The following is a 19,240-nucleotide window of genomic DNA, read 5'->3' as shown; positions in this document are numbered from 1 at the left end:
CAGCCTGGCCAACATGGCAAAACCCCGTCTCTACTAAAAATACCAAAAACATTAGCCAAGTGTGGTGGCACGTGCCTGTAGTCCCAGCTACTTGGGAGGCTGGGGCACCAGAATCACTTGAACCTGGGAGGCGGAGGTTGCAGTGAGCAGAGATTGCACCACTGCACTCCAGCCTGGGCAACAGAGCGAGACTCCGTCTCGATTAAAAAAAAAAAAAAAAACCCTCAAATAAGCAATTTTAATTTTTTTAAATCAGTTTTTCTGGTATCAGGTAACAGCTAAAATTAGAATCTGTTTTCTTCTTTTTGTAGGGATGGAGTCTCACTATGTTGACCAGGCTAGCCTTGAACTCCTAGGCTCAAGCAATCCTTCTGCCTTGGCCTCCAAAAGTGCTGGGATTACAGGTATGAGCCACAACACTGTGCCTTAGAATTGGTTTTCAACCTCCTCTTGCCTACCTGAACAATCCAAAGCATAGAGAAAATAAAAGTTGGACACGAATCACTTACTAATGTATGTGCTTTTGTGCCTCAAGAAAATACAAAAGGTATTGAACAAATGTTTTGTGTAAAATAATCTTCTAACCCTAACTTCTTAAAATTTAACAAGCATTGGTCTCTAAGCTGGTGACTGGCCTGACATTTCATCTCCTAAAATCATTTAGCTTATAAGATGTGTTACTTTAAAGAATGGCAATTTTATATTGTATTTGTTTATTAATATACTGTTCTCAAACCTATAGCAAAGGGTCTGTTTGTTACAAGGTTTGTGGAATAGAAAATAAGAACCAAGACAATTTGATATGGGAATCAATGGGATCTTTTTTTTTTTTCTCATTTTAGAACAATAATAAAATACCTAATTTTCTATTACAAAAGATTTGTATGCTTATTAGCATATTTGTAAAACATAGGCAGCATCAATTAAAAAATTGAAACAATCTTCAGGCCTAGATTATATGGTATATGATATTATTTTAGAGTACCTAATTCAAAGAATGGCACTTTTTAAAACTATTTATTTATTTATTTTGAGATGGAGTTTTAAACTATGTATTTATTTATTTATTTATTTACTTATTTTGAGACGGAGTCTCACTCTGTCACCCAGGCTGGAGTGCAGTGGTGCAATCTGGGCTCACTGTAATCTCTGCCTCCCAGGTTCAAGCGATTCTCCTGCCTCAGCCTCCCGAATAGCTGGGATTACAGGCACCTGCCACCATGTCCAGCTAATTTTTGTATTTTTAGTAGAGACGGGGTTTCATCATGTTGGCCACGCTGGTCTCGAACTCCTGACCTCAAGTCATCTGCCCATCTTGGCCTCCCAAAATGCTGGTATTAGAGGCATGAGCCACCATGCACGGCCTCAAAAAATGGCAGTTTTAAACATTCAAAATCACATTTCCTTTCAACAAATATTGACCCTCATCAAATGTATGGAAATAAATCAAAACTAGGTCTAGAAGAGCCGATTTTTAATGCACAGGCATCAAATAAAAATAATCATGCTAAATAGCTAGATGGGGGAGGTGGGAGCAGGGTTGAGGCTGAAACACGCACCAAGCCAAGTCTTAGACGTAGACCTTTTGGTGTTTTATAGTGTGTTATATTGTGATCTTACCCCTCATGGCTATTTTTATTATTCCATCTTCCAGATGAAGAAACTGAAGTTGAAAGATAGTAAGTAACTCGCACAAGCTTACACCCCTTAGTGGAGCTGGGACTGGAGCCTAGGCACTCGGACTCCAGAGCCCATGAGGAGTGATGCCTCAGTAGACGTCGACAGTGAGTACAAAGAGACCTGCGAGTTTCTCTGCCACTAAGTTAGCGCTGAGGCAGTGACTGAGACCAGGCCTATGAAAACATACGACCACCTAAGGATCATGCTGATTTCAGTGCCCACCAAGTTAGTCTCAAGCTGAAACCATCCAATTTTCCCATAGAACTAATATTTATGATTTTTGAATAAACATAGAAATTCACCCTCCCTTGTCTTAAAACTTGAAACTTACATTTGTCTCACCTGAGTTCCTTCCTCAAGAAACTGACCCTCAGGCAAGGGAATGAAACTCATCAGATCATCACATCCAGACAATGAGATGCCAGTTTCCTCATCTATCATGATTGCTTTCTTACCAGTCCCTAATTCCTATTTTCCTGCCTTCCCTGCTATATAAATCCCCCAATTTTCATAAGCTGGGGAGACAGATTTGAGAATTTATCTCCCCTTCTCCTTAACTATAGCACCTGATTACAGGTGACTAAAGCCTTCTTCCCTGGCAATACTCATTTGTCTCAGTGATTGGCATTCTGTGCGGCAAACAGCAGGGCCTAGGCAGAACCTCTGGAGTATCAGTAACAAATCCGGCCCCAGGTAATGAAAACACAAATCATGCAACCTGAGTTTCTCATAGACAAGCCTATCTTCCCCATAGATAAGTCACCAAACAGGAAAATCAAATGGACTCCTCTTTCTAAAAGATTCTTCTCAGTTGGAGATTTCTAAGTAGGTCATTCTCTTGGATTGACTCCACAAAGTGTACAGACCCTTTATTATTCTATGCAGGATGTTGCATGCATCAGGGCTCAGAACTTTTTGGCAATGAAAAATTTGTTCTAAACCAAAAGAGTACGTGGGTCACGAGCCTCTTAAGAACGTTTTAATGCCAAGATCCAATGGAATCTAATTTTAAGATAACAATTTCCATGGTCAACCCTAAAATAGTATCAATAACCAATAAAATATTAACTTATCAACATGTCACATGCACGGATGCTCAAATCCAAAAGACAAATGTGTCTCAAATTTTAAGTTTCAACCCAGACTTTTGTCAAAGCACCCATTAGACAAACAGCAGGCACCATTGATAGGCACCAGAAATTCAAACATAAATCAAGGTAAAGTTCCTGTCTTCACCGCTTATTAAGGAATGATATGCAAATGAGTATCAATAGTAAAATAACCCAGAATGATAAACGTTATTGTAAAATATGTGCAACATTATAAGGGATCAGAGAGGGGTAGATTGATTAATTATTCATGTCGAGGAAGCATGAAGAATTACAGAAATGAAATGGCATTTGAGCAGACTCTTGACAGATGGGAAGGAGCTTGCCATACAAATGAGTAATAGTACAGTGATGTCGGAGTTGGGGTAAACAGTTCTACCTTCCTTGAAAAGAAATATATGGAAAGGAGAGTCCAGACGCGGGACTTGGCACATGGGCTGAGGCAAGGATGCAGTGAACCAATTCAAACATTTTGGGAAATACCCCAACAATAATAATGAGAGGTATCAGAGGAGCTCCATGCCAGGAATAAGAATGAACCTATCTGGGCCAGGCGCGGTGGTTCGCGCCTGTAATCCCAGCACTTTGGGAGGCTGAGGTGGGCGGGCCGCCTGAGGTCAGGAGTTCGCGACCAGCCTGACCAACATGGAGAAACCCCATCTCTACTAAAAATACAAAATTAGCCAGGAGTGGTGGTACATGCCTGTAATCCCAGCTACTCGGGAGGCTGAGGCAGGAGAATCGCTTGAACCCGGGAGGCGGAGGTTGCGGTGAGCTGAGATCGCGCCATTGCACTCCAGCTTGGGCAACAAGAGCGAAACTGTCTCAACAAAAAAAAAAAAAAAAAAGAATGAACCTATCTGAGTTAGAATGAACACAATGAAGGCAGGGTACTCAATTAGAGACAGAAGAATAGGGACAGAAAGACCAACTAGAATGCAATGTTACCATATTTCAGGAGGGAGGTAAGTCTCAGGGCACAACAGATAAACAAGTAGGGGGTGCTGGAAGTTGCTGAAAGAGAGAGATCAGGGAGATAAGGGGACACCCCACAAGAGAAACTGGATGCTCCCTGGCCCTTTGAAAATTGCCAAAAATAGCTCCATATTTCACAAGTATACCACGGGCCTATACACATCTTGCATAAAATAGGGACACATAATATTAATGTCAATAGAAGACTTAGATGTCACCGCATTAGACAAGGGCCCTAATCCTCAGGAGCATCAGTGCTCTGCCAGACACTGCACTGGATATTTTGCACAAGAAATGTACTCCAGGAGCTTACTGGTATTCTTGCCCACTGGCAAGGCTGGCCATCCACCTCTCGCATGGGTTGGCCCTAGGGATCCATCAAGAACAGCCTCATTTTACTGTTTCTCTCACCCAGCAGCAAAAGGAATCACTCTTTTTGTGGCAGCAGCCCTACAAATCAATTCACTTAAAACTGGCTCTGCTAGAACAAAACACAAGCCAAGGGTTCCGGGTCTCTTTTCCTCCCGATGATTTGCACAGATCAAAAACTGCTCCAAGATTTCTAAAGAGAAGAGCTCGGGCTCCCCCCGCCCAGCACCATTCTGGGCTGGAATGAGACGAGACCACCCTGGGGGACAACTGAGATGCTCCTGAAATGTCAGAGGCAGCACTGCAAGCCTCTGATCCTCCACCACCTTCTGCGCTATGGATATTGATTTCAGACACTGTTACAGAGCATAACTGAAAGTCTGGACCTTTACAGCTTGTCATTTGGGCCAGCCTTTCACAAGGGACTTTGCACCAGCAGCCTGGTGTCCGGTACCTTTGAAAGCAGAGCCAACCCTTCCGAGGCTTGTTTCTTCACTCCATGAGGTTTGATCAATGACACAGCCAGACATTTTCATTATTTTGACAAGCATACATAGAGCACTCAGACCAGGAGACAATGGAAGGCCTCCAGCCATTGGTGTGCACGAGAATTAAGAAGAATAAAAATGTCAGCATGCTCTGATGTCTTCATCTTGACACTTTTGAGGGAGCTGTTATCCTTTTGAGACAGTCTGCATTTATTGTGTTACACATTGCCATAGACTTTGGAGTGGGAAAGAGAAGATGAGCAAGGGAAGTCCATGACTTAAAGAAACTTGCAATCCAGTTTCTTTAGAAACTTGATTGAAAAAGAGATGTGGCTATAAATGCTACAGGAAAGCAAATCAAAGTGGGTGGGGCTGCATTGGTGCTGGGATAAGTGAAATTTTTAGTCGTGTCCCACCTGCCTTATTAAAAGGAGAGAACATTAGGATCAGAGAAGAGGCTGCCCATTTGATGCTGAAATGCCAATATCAAAAAAAGAGCCTTCAATCTTGAACTCATGATCAGATAGCTCACCTAGCTGGATATCCTCCCCACATTTTAAATCCAAATAGCATGGTTAGATTGATCCCAGTGTCTCAAGTTTTAGAACCCTATGTTTTGAGTAAACGATATGGATTTTTTGCAAACCACATTTTTGTGAAAAGAAGCAGAATGGGAGAATAAAGAAACCTACACATAGGAAAGCATGCCCTGAGCAGTGAGACTGCCTGATATTGAAAATGACCTTGAGGTTTCTCTCTTCAACCTCAGAGGACCACAGGAAGAAACAGCAAAACTAATGGTGGAAATAAAGTAAGATAGGTATTTAAAATGTCTACAATGCTATCTATTTTTAATGATCTCGGATGCTAGAAACCAAGGAAGGGAAGTCAGCCTTAAAAAGAACCTGTGAACCTTTGCCTGGTATCATATTTCACAAAGTTTTTAAACTTCCCTGTATCAACTTTCATGATATTATAAGGATATTAGCAGCCCCAGTGCTTGGGATTAGACAGAGATGAGGAGAAGGAATGCACAGGGGAAAGCATATAATCAAAGATCACTAAACGTAAGCTAAATTAATAAATAAATGGAGACAAAAGTCAAACTACATTTTTGCAAAAGAATCTTCACTATTTGCTTATACATCCTTTCATCCAGTCAACAAAACTGAGCTGGGTGTTTGGGATTCCAGAAGCTTCTCACCTGGTAAGGACATACTAGGAATCTCTATTGATTTAAATTGTGGGTAAATCATCTCACCTTTTTTGAAAAATTAAAAATGTGATAGTCGTCCTACTTCTATTTCTCTCTCATTCATTCAGACAGTCATTTACTTATCTTACAAAGATTTAAGCATTTAATCTATACCAGGCATTTTACTAGGCTTAGAGGATACCAAAATTAATAGAATACAGCATCTACCCTTTAAAAGAGCCAGTCAAGAATTTCCAGTAATGCCAGTTAAAGGTGATTGATATGGCTTGGCTGTGTCCCCACCCAAATCACAACTTGAATTGTATCTCCCAGAATTGCCACATATTATGGGAGGGACCTAAGGGGAGGTAACTGAATCAAGGGGGCCGGTCTTTCCCATGCTATTCTCATGGTAGTGAGTAAATCTCACAAGATCTGATGGGTTTATCAGGGGTTTCCGCTTTTGCTTCTTCCTTATTTTTCTCTTGCCACTGCCATGTAAGAAGTGCCTTTCACCCCCTGCCATGAGTCTGAGGCCTCCCCAACCATGTGGACCTGTAAGTCCAATTAAACTTCTTTTTCTTCCCAGTCTCCGATATGTCTTTATCAGCAGCATGAAAATGGACTAATACAGTGATCAATATAATAACGTTTACATAAACAAAATGCTAAAGCAGGTACAAGCAGCAGTGAGGAAGGATTTTTTGAGAGAAGAAAAAAAAAGAGTAGCATTCGATCCGAGTCACCAAATATGTGAAGAAGTTTCCCAGGCAAAGAGAACAGAGGAAGGGCATGCCCCAGGGAGAGCAAGACATACACTGCAGATGGAAAAGAGGGCATGGCATGTCCAGCAGGCAGCAAGGAGTAAGTTGTGTGTCATTGAGAGCTTACCACAAAGGTGGGCACCAACAGGAAGATCTTGGCAGCTCTCCCAAGGTGCTTAGACTTGATTCATTTCAACGACGGGGCTGCTATCAGACACCTTCACCCCTATTCTATCTGGTGAAGCCCAGGAAATTTAAGTAACTTGCCCAAGAACAAGTCTGTCAACAGTCAAATGGCTACCTGATTTTACTTACAGAAAGAAAAGCTGCCATCCTCCAAGTTGGGCTGAATTTTGAGTAGATTGAAATGTTGAGCTTATGGGGACACACAAGGCATCACTATAATGCCCTATCCTAAGATTTGCCTGTCATTCTTCCATGCATTTATTCAGTAGCTTTACATCAGTCTCTGCTTGATGTCAGCCACCATGTTAGGCCCTTGAAGTACAATTGTCATGGAAATAGACATATAAGAGCTTGCTGGTAAAGTTGAGAGGAGGCCAGGCAATACAATAAGTGCATGGCATCAGAGAATCCCCACAGCAGTGCCTCTTGACCTGGCCTAGGGGAGAGGTCCACTCGTTAGAAGTAAAGTGCCCTGGAGAGTCGCCTTCTGTGCCTCACTCAGTAAGCCCACTTGGATGTGGGCCAGACGAACCTAACAGCCAACATCCCGCCAACCAGAACTGCCATGTGGAGTGTCTGCATTCTCCCCCAGATGTGTGTTCCTGCCTGAATGTGCACTGATAGGAAGCAATGCCAGTCCTTCCGCATGTGACAAAGCTAATTCCAGTCACCACTTTCTCTCAGTCTAGAGCAATCTTTGAATCTTGTCCATAAAACTAATTGAAAAGGAAAGCAAATGCATTTCACTGAAAGGAAATCACAATGCTGTGGCTGATTCCATCATTTTTGTCAGTAGATGGGAAATTCAAGTGCAACTCCTATATATAATTACCCATCATGTCTTGAATACAAAATTATAGCTTCCACAAGTTAGACACATTTCACACACAAACACTGCCATGGTATAAAAAGACAGTTAGGCAATAAATTCCATAAATGGAGTGGATGAGCAGAGTTTTTTTTTAACCACTAATATATTTTATACATTACGATGATATGCATTCTGCAAATTTGTGATGTCCTTTAGGATAGGATTTCTATATTAGATTTCTTTTCCAATGATCACAAAATCTCTCCCACCTTCACTTATCCCCCCCAAAAGCTTCCCAGAGAGGCGGCAAGAGCACCAGATTAGAAGTCAGGAAATGTGCATTATTTCTTAGATTCTATCACAAATTACTTTTTGTTGGCAAGTTATGTAATCCCTGCTTAACGTTCTCATCTACAAAACGTGAACAGTGGCACCTACTCCACTGAACTCCCAACCTGCTGGGAAAAGCCCTGGATTTGGAGTTAAGAGGCTGAAGTTTGAGTTGGACTTTGCCACTGACTGGCAAATGACTTTGGGTAAATCACATAAACTCCCAGAGACCAAGGTAATTCACCAGTAAAGCGAGCCTAATTCCACCTGCCTCACAAATTTGTGCTGAGAGTTAAATAAAGTAAGCCAGAGTGTTTTATAAACCACAAGCACTTACAGTAGCATAAGGTATTATTAATTAGGATCAAATAAGATCTTATAACTGTAGTGTTTTGAGAAGCACATAGCACATGTGTCATTGAATTTCTTTTTCTTTTCTTTTTTTTTTTTTTTTTTTGAGACGGAGTTTTACTCTGTCGCCAGGCTAGAGTCCAGTGGTGCAAACTTGGCTCACTGCAACCTCTGGTGCACCTTGGGAGGCTCTGGTTCAAGCGATTCTCCCACCTCAGCCTCCCGAGTAGCTGGGAATACAGGTGCACACCACCACGCCCAGCTAATTTTTGGATTTTCAGTAGAGACAGGGTTTCACCATGTTGGCCAGGATGGTCTCGATCTCTTGACCTCGTAATATGCCCACCTCAGCCTCCCAAAGTGCTGGGATTACAAACATGAGCCACGGTACCCAGCCGTCATTGAATTTCTTATGCAGCCAACCATGCTGCGTGTATCTTCTACAATCAACCTTTAATGTCTCACACATTTTAGGGCTACCTCTTTTTATCATCACTGGGGAAAGACCAGAGGATCCTACACAGCAGGCTGCCTGAGCAGCTCAAGTTGCCTTGCACTGAGCGTGTCATAGGAAGCCTGGATGACACCAAGACTCAGCGACTGAGGAGACCTGGCCCGGCGCTACTCCTGTGTTGGGAAAGGTGGCATGGAAAAACGAGGAACTCCTTTCTGCTCGAGGAGTGATAAGGCGTGACAGCAAAAGAGGTTTTGTGTAATCTTCCCTTGCTACAGCCAAGCAAGTTCAGGGCCCAGGCCAAGACTTGTTCAACGAGAACCAGGTAGAACCTTTCAAGGCTAATGACACATGAGATTGACTTCAGACACAGTTTGATGAAGTTTCATTTCCTAAACCCAAGTTCATTCACCTCACTGCCCCACTTCGATCTGTCAGATATTCTAGAAGCACTCAGCTTTCTCCAAACTGACCCATGGATCCATAGCACAGTAGGCCATAAGGAGAACATACTGTCCAAACCTCTTCAAATGGCCCCAGCATGCCAGATGCCTTGACCAGGAGCGGTGGAAATAGCACTGGCATGTTCCACCTTTGGCCTTGATTTGTAGCAATGCACAGGTGGCGTCCACAGCACCCAGTGCCAACCCAGAGCACGAGGACACGGGCATCAATTTCACAGCCTGAGTTCCCTAAGGTAACTTTTATAACTCTGCTATAGTAGTTACTTTTCTAAAGGTCAAGATTTACATGTTTATTTTGACTAATGCTACTTGGAATAATCCAGATTGAGGAAAAAAGAAAAAAGAAAGAAAGAAATTGACAGAAACAGTTTAATCTTGTTTGCAAGTGAAATCTACAGCTCATTTTGGGAAATATCCTGTGAGAATTCTTCTTGATGTCATTGAGAGGGGGAAGAAAGAATGACTTTCAGTTCAGCATGGGACACCCAGGGGGCGGAAAACGCCAGTCCCACACAAGAACATCTGGTTGGCGAACACAAAGGAACATAACACCTGCGAACTCCTCATGTGTTTACTCTGTAACTAGTTGTCCATTATCCACACAAAATATGTTTTGGGGCTGGAAACCGGTTTGTTCCTGCCAAGAAAGTCTGGAGTGATAACGCAGCCTGTTTACCTTGGAATTCTCCCCATCCTAGCTAGCATGGGTGGACCCTGCTGAGCCAAGACAGCTTTGGAACATGTTTCTGCCTCATGCCTGTTTGCTGAGACTTCTATAAGTTTGGAGCTGGCAACTGGGACAGGGTGTTGGAGGATGAGTGTGTGGAGAATAACTGTTGGGCTTCAGGAGAGGGTTATGATATTATTTATTCCTCAGTGATGATTTCCTGGCAGGACTTTTCATGTCTTAGCCTCTGGAAGGAGTTGCATGTATCAAAAACAACACCAAAACAAACCATTTTAACACCCACACTTACAGGAAACTCTACCCCAGGGGTTGAGAGTTCTTCTAAAGGAAGAAGAAGGCCTGCCATGTGCAACTCTGCCCTTGGCAGTGTGGTTGTCAGCCCCCAGCACAATTTATTGGTCCTTCTTTGAAGCGCTCTTGGCCTCTAGAATGAAGCATCCCCCGAAGAGACCTAGCAGAAAGCAACCCTTGGCCGAAGAGTTCCCGCCATAATTCAGTCCCTCTCATTGTCAGGTGGGACGGCCAAACACAGCATCACTCCCTGTCACCACCTTGAGTCAAAATTTTAGCAGGAGACTAATGGGAACAGTGAATGCCATTGGCTTGGGGACAAATTGAAGCTTACAATGAAGAAGTGAGAAGAGGTATGTGGAAAAATAGCAGAACTCATATTTATTTGAGTCCTAGCTTTAAGCCAGTCTCAATGATTAGCACTTTGCATACTCTTTCTCGTATAATTTTCATAATAACTCTATTCTCCTACTAATTTTGTAGGCTAAAAAAGGAGGAACTCTCCCAGGGTCAAGTTATTTCGCCAAATAGAAAGGCTGGGGTTTCCACCCACATCTCTCTGGCTTTTTTCTGCTACATCACACAGTCTGCAAAATGAAGGTTGACAAGAACTGATATTCCTTTGCCTCCAAATATATCCAAAAAGTCCCATTGTAGTGCTGAGTTGCTTGTCTGTTTGTTTCAGATGGCTTAGCCAGGTCTCTATTCCTCTTTATCTCACCCTGAGAACAGGAAGAAAGTTAAAAGATCATGGGGATTGTGTTGAACTAGGAGTAAGAAGGGCTATGTCCCAGGCTTGCTTCTCTCACACTGCACTCAGGTCCTCAGTTCACACTTGTTTCACATGAGAGTGCTGGAATATGTGCTGTGATAGATGTTGGCTCTATTGTTTAAAGATGTTCGATGCATCTCTAGAAAATAACAGAAACAGGCCAATGATCATAGAAGAAATGAAGTAGAGTGAGGTGAGTTACACAAAGATGAGGTAGGCTGAGCACATGGGTGCAGGTGGAAGATGGGAAAGATGGAAGGATCAAAAGTTACACTAAATATACTTGAGGCACTCAAAATTCACTGGGACTTAAATTGCCCACTCATGGGGAACACCCATTTTGGTTCTGCCTATCCTCTGGCTAAAACAGGGGTCCTCAACTCCTGGGCTCCTGCCTGTTAGGAACTGGGCTCCACAGCAGAAGGTGAGCAGTGAGCAAGCAAGCATTAACCCCCTGAGCCCCGTCTCCTGTTAGATCAGCCGCAGCATTAGATTCTCATAGGAGCACAAATCCTCCTGTGAACTGCGCACGCGAGGAATCTAGGTTGCGTGTGCCTTATGAGAATCTAATGCCTGATGATTTGTCACTGTCTCCCATCACCTCCAGAGGAACTATCTATTTGCAGGAAAACAAGTTCAGGGCATTGATTCTACATTATGAGGAGTTGTATAATTATTTCATTATATATTAAAATGTAATAATAGAAATAAAGTATACAATAAATGTAATGCACTGAATCCTACCCCACCCTTGATTCATGGAAAAATTGTCTTCCATGAAACTGGTCCCTGGTGCCAAAAAGGTTGAGGATCATTGGCCTGAAACACAGATAAAAGCCAGCCGGCTCACTGGCAAGCTGCGGCTGGGACCAAGCACACCTGTCTCCATGGCTCACAAAAACAAATGCGTGTGTCTGCCTCAGGTACCTTCCATCTGTTGGCCCCCTTGTTATTAAATCTTGTCCTCTTCATAACCCCAGTGTCAGAGTGTGAGAGTGAGAGACAGACACAGAGAAAGGGGGTGGGGGGCTATACATATCGTCTAACACAGCAGTGGTCCTCAACCTTTTTGGCAGCACGGACTGGTTTCGTGGAAGACAATTTGACAATTTTTCCAAGGACTGGGGTGGCAGGGTGATAGTTTCAGGATGATCCAAGCGCATTACATTTATTGTGCATTTTATTTCTATTATTATTGTATTGTAATATATAATGAAATAATTATACAACTCACCATAATATAGAATCAGTGGGAGCCCTGAGCTTGTGTTCTTGCAACTAGACAGTCCAATCCAAGGGTGATGGGAGAGGGTGAAGATCATCAGGCATTAGATTCTCATAAGGAGCACACAGCCTAGATCCCTCACACGTGCAGTTCACAATTATCATAGGTTCCTGCTCCTATGAGAACCTAATGCCACCATTGATCTGACAGGAGGTGGAGCTCAGGGGTCATGTGAGCTCTGGGGACTGGCTGTAAATACAGATGAAGCTTTGCTTGCTCGTCCGCCCACCACTCACCTCCTGCTGTGTGGCCCAGTTCCAAACAGGCCACGGACTGGTACCAGTACCAGTCTATGGCTGGGGGGTTGGGGACCCCTGTAATACAAGACTGGAGTCTGGCCCTTTCAACCCTGCCTGTACCCTACCCCAGGTGTGTTAGTCTTCATCTCTTTCCCCTTACTTCTGTGTGTTTTAAACTAGTTTATTAAGCTGTCTGATGAGAACATCTTAATTTGGTATTTGAGGCTTTCTGTTCCCTACCTTCTGGGATGGTTTTTTTTGGTGATGCACTTGAAGGGCCCCACTGCATCCAGGTGATTTCCCACTTCACAGGGGACCTCCGAGACTCTGCCTCCCTTTAGCATTCTGTGGCTCTTGATCCTCAAAAGAGAGCAAATCCTGGTGGAATAATTCAATGGCAAAGAAAACCAAGTAAACCAGAGAAGATGAACATGATTTTTTTTAAAAGACAATGCTTATGAATTACTTCATGTCATTGGAATTTGTATTCGTTTCTTTAAAGCCCTCTCAGTGTACTTCGGACTTAGCCTGTCAGTTGGCGCTTTCACCGTCTCAAAGCCCTCTCACCCTGTGGCACCTACGTGAGCATCACACTCACCTTGTAAGGGTCTCAGAACAGACACAATTATTCCTGTTTCACAAGTGAATAAACTGCGCTCAAGCAAGTAGCATGAATTGCCTGAGGGTAGATTACTACTAAAAGATGAGTTCAGACCTAGAATACTCAACAAAGATTCTTTCCATTATACCATGTATACACTGAAATGTATTTAGAGTCCTATCCACATGCAGCAGGAATTGAAAGACAGGGAAGATAAAGCTAGGGAGGGAGGGACAGACAGAGAGAGAGAAATAAGACGGGTGGTCATGGATGATATGTATTTTACGTATGTGGTATATATACTACCATTTGTTGAAGGCCTATTTTGTGTCCAGTAATGCTATATGTGTTTTATCCACAGCATCTCTCTTTCTCAAAGTGCTAAGAGATCATATCACTCTCACTTCATCACTGATGAAAGGGAGACTCAGAGATGCTCCTTCAGTAACATGCTTGATGACGAGGAGAAAATGCAGATTTCCAGTGTAAGTCCGCTGACCCAAAGACCCGCTTTCTAAGATGCAATGATCATAATGATCACTACCAATTAAGAATCCATAAACTTGGCCGGGTGTGGTGGCTCATGCCTGTAATCCCAGCACTTTGGGAGGCTGAGGCCGGTGGATCACTAGGTCAGGAGATCGAGACCATCCTGGCTAACACGGTGAAACCCCCTCTCTACTAAAAATACAAAAAATTAGCCGGGCGTGGTGGTGGGCGCCTGTAGTCCCAGCTACTCGGGAGGCTGAGGCAGGAGAATGGCGTGAACCCAGGACGCGGAGCTTGCAGTGCGCCGAGATGGCGCCACTGCACTCCAGCCTGGGGGACAGAGAGAGACTCCGTCTCAAAAAAAAAAAAAAGAATCCATAAACTTTTTGAGTATGTTCTGTGTACTGGGTAGGGTTAAGCATTGCACATACACCATCTTAGTTCTTCTCATCATGGTCCTCAGAAAGTCCCTGCAACAAAGTGTCTCTTCTGTAAAAGAATGAAAAGTTGATGTGTTAAAGTGTAAATGGAAGGGTTTAGACACTTACAAATACGCAATGGAGAGCCATCAAAATACCTGTCAAGACAGAGACGATCTTTAACCTTTGACCTTGCCTTTTGACTCCTCCCAATACCTAATGTTAAATGACGAGTCAATGGGTGCAGCACACCAACATGGCGCATGTATACATATGTAACTAACCTGCACGTTGTGCACATGTACCCTAAAACTTAAAGTAAAATTAAAAAAAAAAAAAAAGAGGAGAGTATAAACCCAGTGATCACGACTTGTCATGGCAGAATAAACTGGGGAAGGGCGGAATTGGCGATTGAAAGAACCAAAGCTAACGTATGGGCTTTATTCGGATTCTGATTCTAACAAACCATGTATGAAAAGACATTGAATATGGACTGGGTGGTAGATGACATTAATAAATTCTTGGGTTTTTATTTTGTACAGTATGATTAAGTTACTGTGAATATTTAAGATGTTCTTATTTTTTAGTGATATATATGTACATGAAAAACTATCAATGAAATTCATAATTGTTTAGATTTGCTCTAAAATATTTTAGCAAAAAAAGATGAAGAATATACGATAATGAATGTTAATACTGTCAATAGTTGTTAATTCCAGTTGATGGATATATAGTGTCCACTGTAATATTCACTCTGGACTATTCTACCTTTACATGTTTGACATTCTCAAAATAAAAAGGAAAACTTTACATTGGTGACTGAATGAGGTTAGAGAAGGGAGCCAGGAAGGAAACCCTGGGGGTACCTAGAAAGACAGGGAAAATAATAAAAATAAGAAATGAACTACCTGAGTGAAGGGCTTAGTCTGGTAAAGTAGGGAATTGGGAAGGGTATACTTAGGGTTTCAGACTATGACTCCAGGGATTCACTTAAGCAGTAGTATTGACAAAAAATCAAGATGGCCACTTAGAACCCACCTCAGAATGAGTCAAGAAGAAAAGACTAATTGACCATTCAGTGTGCAAGTCACTGGGTATGTACCATTTCATTCATCCCCACCAACACCCCAAGAGGTGCATATAATTGTGCCCAAATGACAGATGAGAACACTGAGGCTCAGAGAGTTAAAGACCTTTGCCTAAGGTTCCACAGGCCCTGAGTCACAAAGGGGATGTGTGGAGAGGGGACAGGAGAAGCCTGTTGGGCAGGGGCTTTGGATCCAATGGAACTTCTGTGAAAGCCACAACCAGTTTGTTTTCACATTAATCTTCATTTGAAGATAAGGTTCTTGTAGCTTAAATAGATAACAAACATCAAAGGGTTAAAGGACTGAAGCTGAATGGATTAGCTTGAAAGACTTAACCCAAAGGTTACTGCAAACAAAAAGGAGAATCACAAATGAGAGGGCCCATAGGTGATTTTTATATTTTCTAAACCTGTGTCAATCTCAACCTCACCGCAAATACTGGTAAGATTTCACCAGCAACCGCATGCCATTTCTACCCAGAAAGTCCCTAACACTGTAGCAGCTTGCTTATGAACTTGAAATTGCCCGGCGGCAGGAGGAACAGGGATGAGAAGAAGGGAAGTGGGGAAAGAAAAAATAAATTAACTGGGCAAGGCCACACCTTGGGGTGTGGGCTTTGAAGAGGATGCAACCCAAAATGCAGCTGCACTGGAACGAGGGCCTCCAACTGGGGAGTCTTCAAGTCATGTGCAAAATGGCCTTTTAATGGATGGAGGAGGGTGTTTCTCTGCTTTCCCCCTTCCACTAGGGAAGTCGAGTCATACAGAGTCCTCGAGCCAGATGCAGAGTTCTGCACTGAAGTTCCTTGCATACATTTTCCGTGAATGTGATTAGCATCCCATCTGCCACAACTGTGGAACTCCCAGAAACTGTGCAATATAAAAAAATAATAATAAAAATAAGGTTGGGTTCCTGTTTTGGTGGAATCTTTTGCTCACTGTGTGGCCCTGAGCCAGTCAGGTGACCTGCTTGTGTACTGATAAGTCAAACCAGCTGGAAAATTGAGTAAGAAGCAAGGACTTCACTAGAAAACAGATGCTACAGCTGAGCTGAACTTTTTTTTCTTTTCAGCAAATAAACTGGGGGCCAACAGGAGAAGGGAGTGGTGAGTTGCTTTGAATATTTAAGATCAGCTCCAAGCTGAGAAACAGAGAGTGTTTATTAGACCCTCCTTCCATCACAGATTTTCTGTGGTCAGCCTGGCTGCCCCCTCCAGGGACAGCAAGCATAGCTCGTGGCCCCATTAAGGTCCAGAGATCCTCTGCAAGCACAATTGGACCACACTTGCCCTCCCTTTAAACAACTTAGCCCTTGAAGTGAAGGTCCCTCCGGGGTCAAATTTGTTAAAATAGCACCTCATTGCGGCTTTACTGGCTCCCTATTGTAAATTGCAAGCCCCTTTCCCGATGTTTATTTTTCACCAGAGCCTTCATTGCTGCCTATCATTTAATGTCATTTAATGTGTACGATTGTTTATGTTCTGTCTCGCCGGTAGAATGGAAGCTCCTCAAGGGAAGGGACTTTTGTCCATTTCATTCACAACTATATCACTAGTGCCAGGAACAGTCTCAATAACTAGTTTGTTTTCTCTGGACTTGAGAGCTGGGAAGAGTGAGTGTCAGAGTCAAGGTATACAGAAAAGCCACCTGTATGGTTAATAAATAATTGGTCCAGCCAGTCTTTAAGTAAGAGAATGCATTCCATCAAGTGCTCTCAGATTACAGCATGCCCCTGACGTCATAGCAACAGACCTACCGAAGGCCACGTGGCTCACACCTGGGATGCTGGGACCAGACTGGACTTTTCCACTTTATTCCCGCCTCCAGGCTCACTACCCTCCAATCCACCTCCACCCTGGTACCAGCAGGCTCTTTCTAAAATACCAACCTGAATCCATGGGTCCCCGACTGCTGCTCATCCCTTGAAAGAGAACTCCAGGCTCCCAGAAGACTTATCCTGGTCTGTCTCTACCCACATTTTTGTCTTGCTCCTGCCCTACCTCCGTAACACCCTCCACGCCAGACATACTCTCTTCCTATTGCACTTTGCCGGACGTATTGTGCTCTCCCTGTCTTCAAACATTGTCTCTGCTCTGCCCTGCCTAAAACTCCTCTCTCAGCTTCCAACACCTACTGGTTTATACCACTGAGCTCCACCACCAACTCCTTTCCAAATTCTTCCCTGTTTATTGTTGCCCTTCCCCCGGACGTTCCCCTGCATCTTGGGCAAACATGACAATACTGGGCGGCACTGTATTATAATTGCTTAGATGTTTCTCTCCCCTGGTAAATGGGTAGGGTCTTGAGGACAGGAATAGTCTTATTTACGCCTGTGCTTAGTCCAGGGCCAGACCTACATATAGAGTCTCCGCAACTGTCGAATTAATGAAAAATCAACTTGTTTTCCTTTCTCAGTTTTACTAGTTCCCTGATTTTCTTCACCTTCCCGCATCATTCTAATATATAGAATGGGTAATGAAAAGCTGCTCTAATACTGAAAAATAGTTCTCCATCAGTCTGAGGCTCCATGCAATGTGATATTCTGTGATTCTCTAACTCCCAAACAGAAAGTTATGGTTAGGAAGGCTGAATTTCTTTAGCTTAAAGGACTAAATCAAGCAGGTCTTTAGGTTTGCCATAGCATGTCACTGGAAAGCATTAATGTATGGGGGGAAGGGGGTAGGGTGTGGTGAAAGAGAGAAGAAAGTAGACCCTTAGTACAGCAGCCCAAGGAAAATCAAGGACCTGTAGAGGAGGGTGGATCCCATTCACCCCCACAACCCTCCACCCCAGCATCATGTCTTCTTAAAGTTCTCAAGGGCTTTAGGGGTTCCTGGTGGTCTCCAAAGTTTCCCCCAACAGCTCCCAAGATGGCAGAAGCCCCCTCCTTGGGAGCAGGAATTGCATGCTTATACTCCACCTGCAGAGGGAGGCCCCTCACCGAGAACCGGGCCCTATGGGTGCCCTTAGAGAAGGAGCTAATACTGAACCAGGATTGCACGGATCTTACAAGTATCTACTTCTCATGCCTCCAAGTGTACACATTGCAACACATTTTTAAAGGCTGGCCCTTGTTTCAAGATATATAGTTGCCAAGTGGAATTCATTTTCCAAAATTAATTTTGTTCAAGGCCGGAGGCAAGAGCTATCTAGAAACAAATGGATGAAATTTACTTTTCAAATGAAATGCACTGAAAAAAGATTTGCTTTTTCTCCAGCCTTTGGGACTTACGCTCAGGGAAGAATTAACAAAAGTAACACAGGCATTATTATTCAAAGCCCATCTCTTTCCTGCGGAATTCACCTTTGATGGGAGATCCGGCAAGTTCCTAACTGCAGGGGGGCTAACAGTGGCAGTGTGTGGATTCAGAAGAGCATTCAAAGACTTGGGATGGGGCCTTTGTCTCCCCATTCCCCCCAACACGCCCCTGTGCCTTGCTTTTGCTGTCTGTTCCTCAGCCTAATGCCATTCAAATTACTAAAACATTGTCCTTTCCCACCTCTGTGAATGTGAGCTATTCTCCTACACGGCTCAGGTCTAAGCTTGCTTCTTAAACAATGGATCTAAGTACCATGTGGGCAGGGACTGTATGCTCTTTAGTCAACCATGCATTGGCTCCAGTACCCAGCCAGCACCTGGAACAGAGCAGGCACTCAGGAAATGTTTGCTGAAGAATAAAAGCCAGGCTGCATGATTTTCTTTGTTAATTCTGACCCCTCTGCCTCAATTTCAAGCCAAGAAAAGGTGGCCCAACGCCCCAGCGTGTGTTCTTCAAAATGCCTTTACAACTGTTATTTTCCAATTGACTGTGAAAATGACTAAACTCCCATGACCAGTAGGAAAGAAAGAAAAAACTTGCTTCCATGGCCCCACGCCCAGCAAACCCACTGGTAGTGATGGAGCAATTGACAAAATGCCCAGCCCAGGCAACCAGGTGGAAAAAAGATTACTATTACCTTAGTCATTTTCTTTATTCAAGAGAGTAGCTTTCCTGGGGCTGGTTTCCACTCACTGATCTTCCTTAGACACCATATCTCTTTCCTTTTTTTTTTTTTTTTTTTTTTTTTTTGAGATGGCGTCTTGCTCTGTCACCCATGCTGGAGTGCAGTAGAACCACCTTGGCTCACTGCCACCTCCGGCTCACTGCAACCTCTGCCTCCCAGGTTCAAGTGATTCTCCTGCCCCAGCCTCC

The 19,240-nt window shown here is 43.4% G+C and overlaps 1 annotated feature.

The window, feature by feature from the left end:
* Nucleotides 18,166-18,910: an enhancer, noted in NCBI's record as "OCT4-NANOG-H3K27ac hESC enhancer chr15:94020239-94020983 (GRCh37/hg19 assembly coordinates)". NCBI's record gives its function as "activates a minimal SCP1, AML or CMV promoter by ChIP-STARR-seq in naive and primed H9 embryonic stem cells {active_cell/tissue: H9 hESC(naive and primed)}" and the evidence as "EXISTENCE:reporter gene assay evidence [ECO:0000049][PMID:30033119]".

This window comes from Homo sapiens, chromosome 15 (assembly GCF_000001405.40).
Source record: "Homo sapiens chromosome 15, GRCh38.p14 Primary Assembly".
NCBI classification, from domain to species: Eukaryota; Metazoa; Chordata; class Mammalia; order Primates; family Hominidae; genus Homo; species Homo sapiens.
Note: the sequence above shows the minus strand (reverse complement) of the source record. Positions and strands in the feature narration are given on the sequence as shown.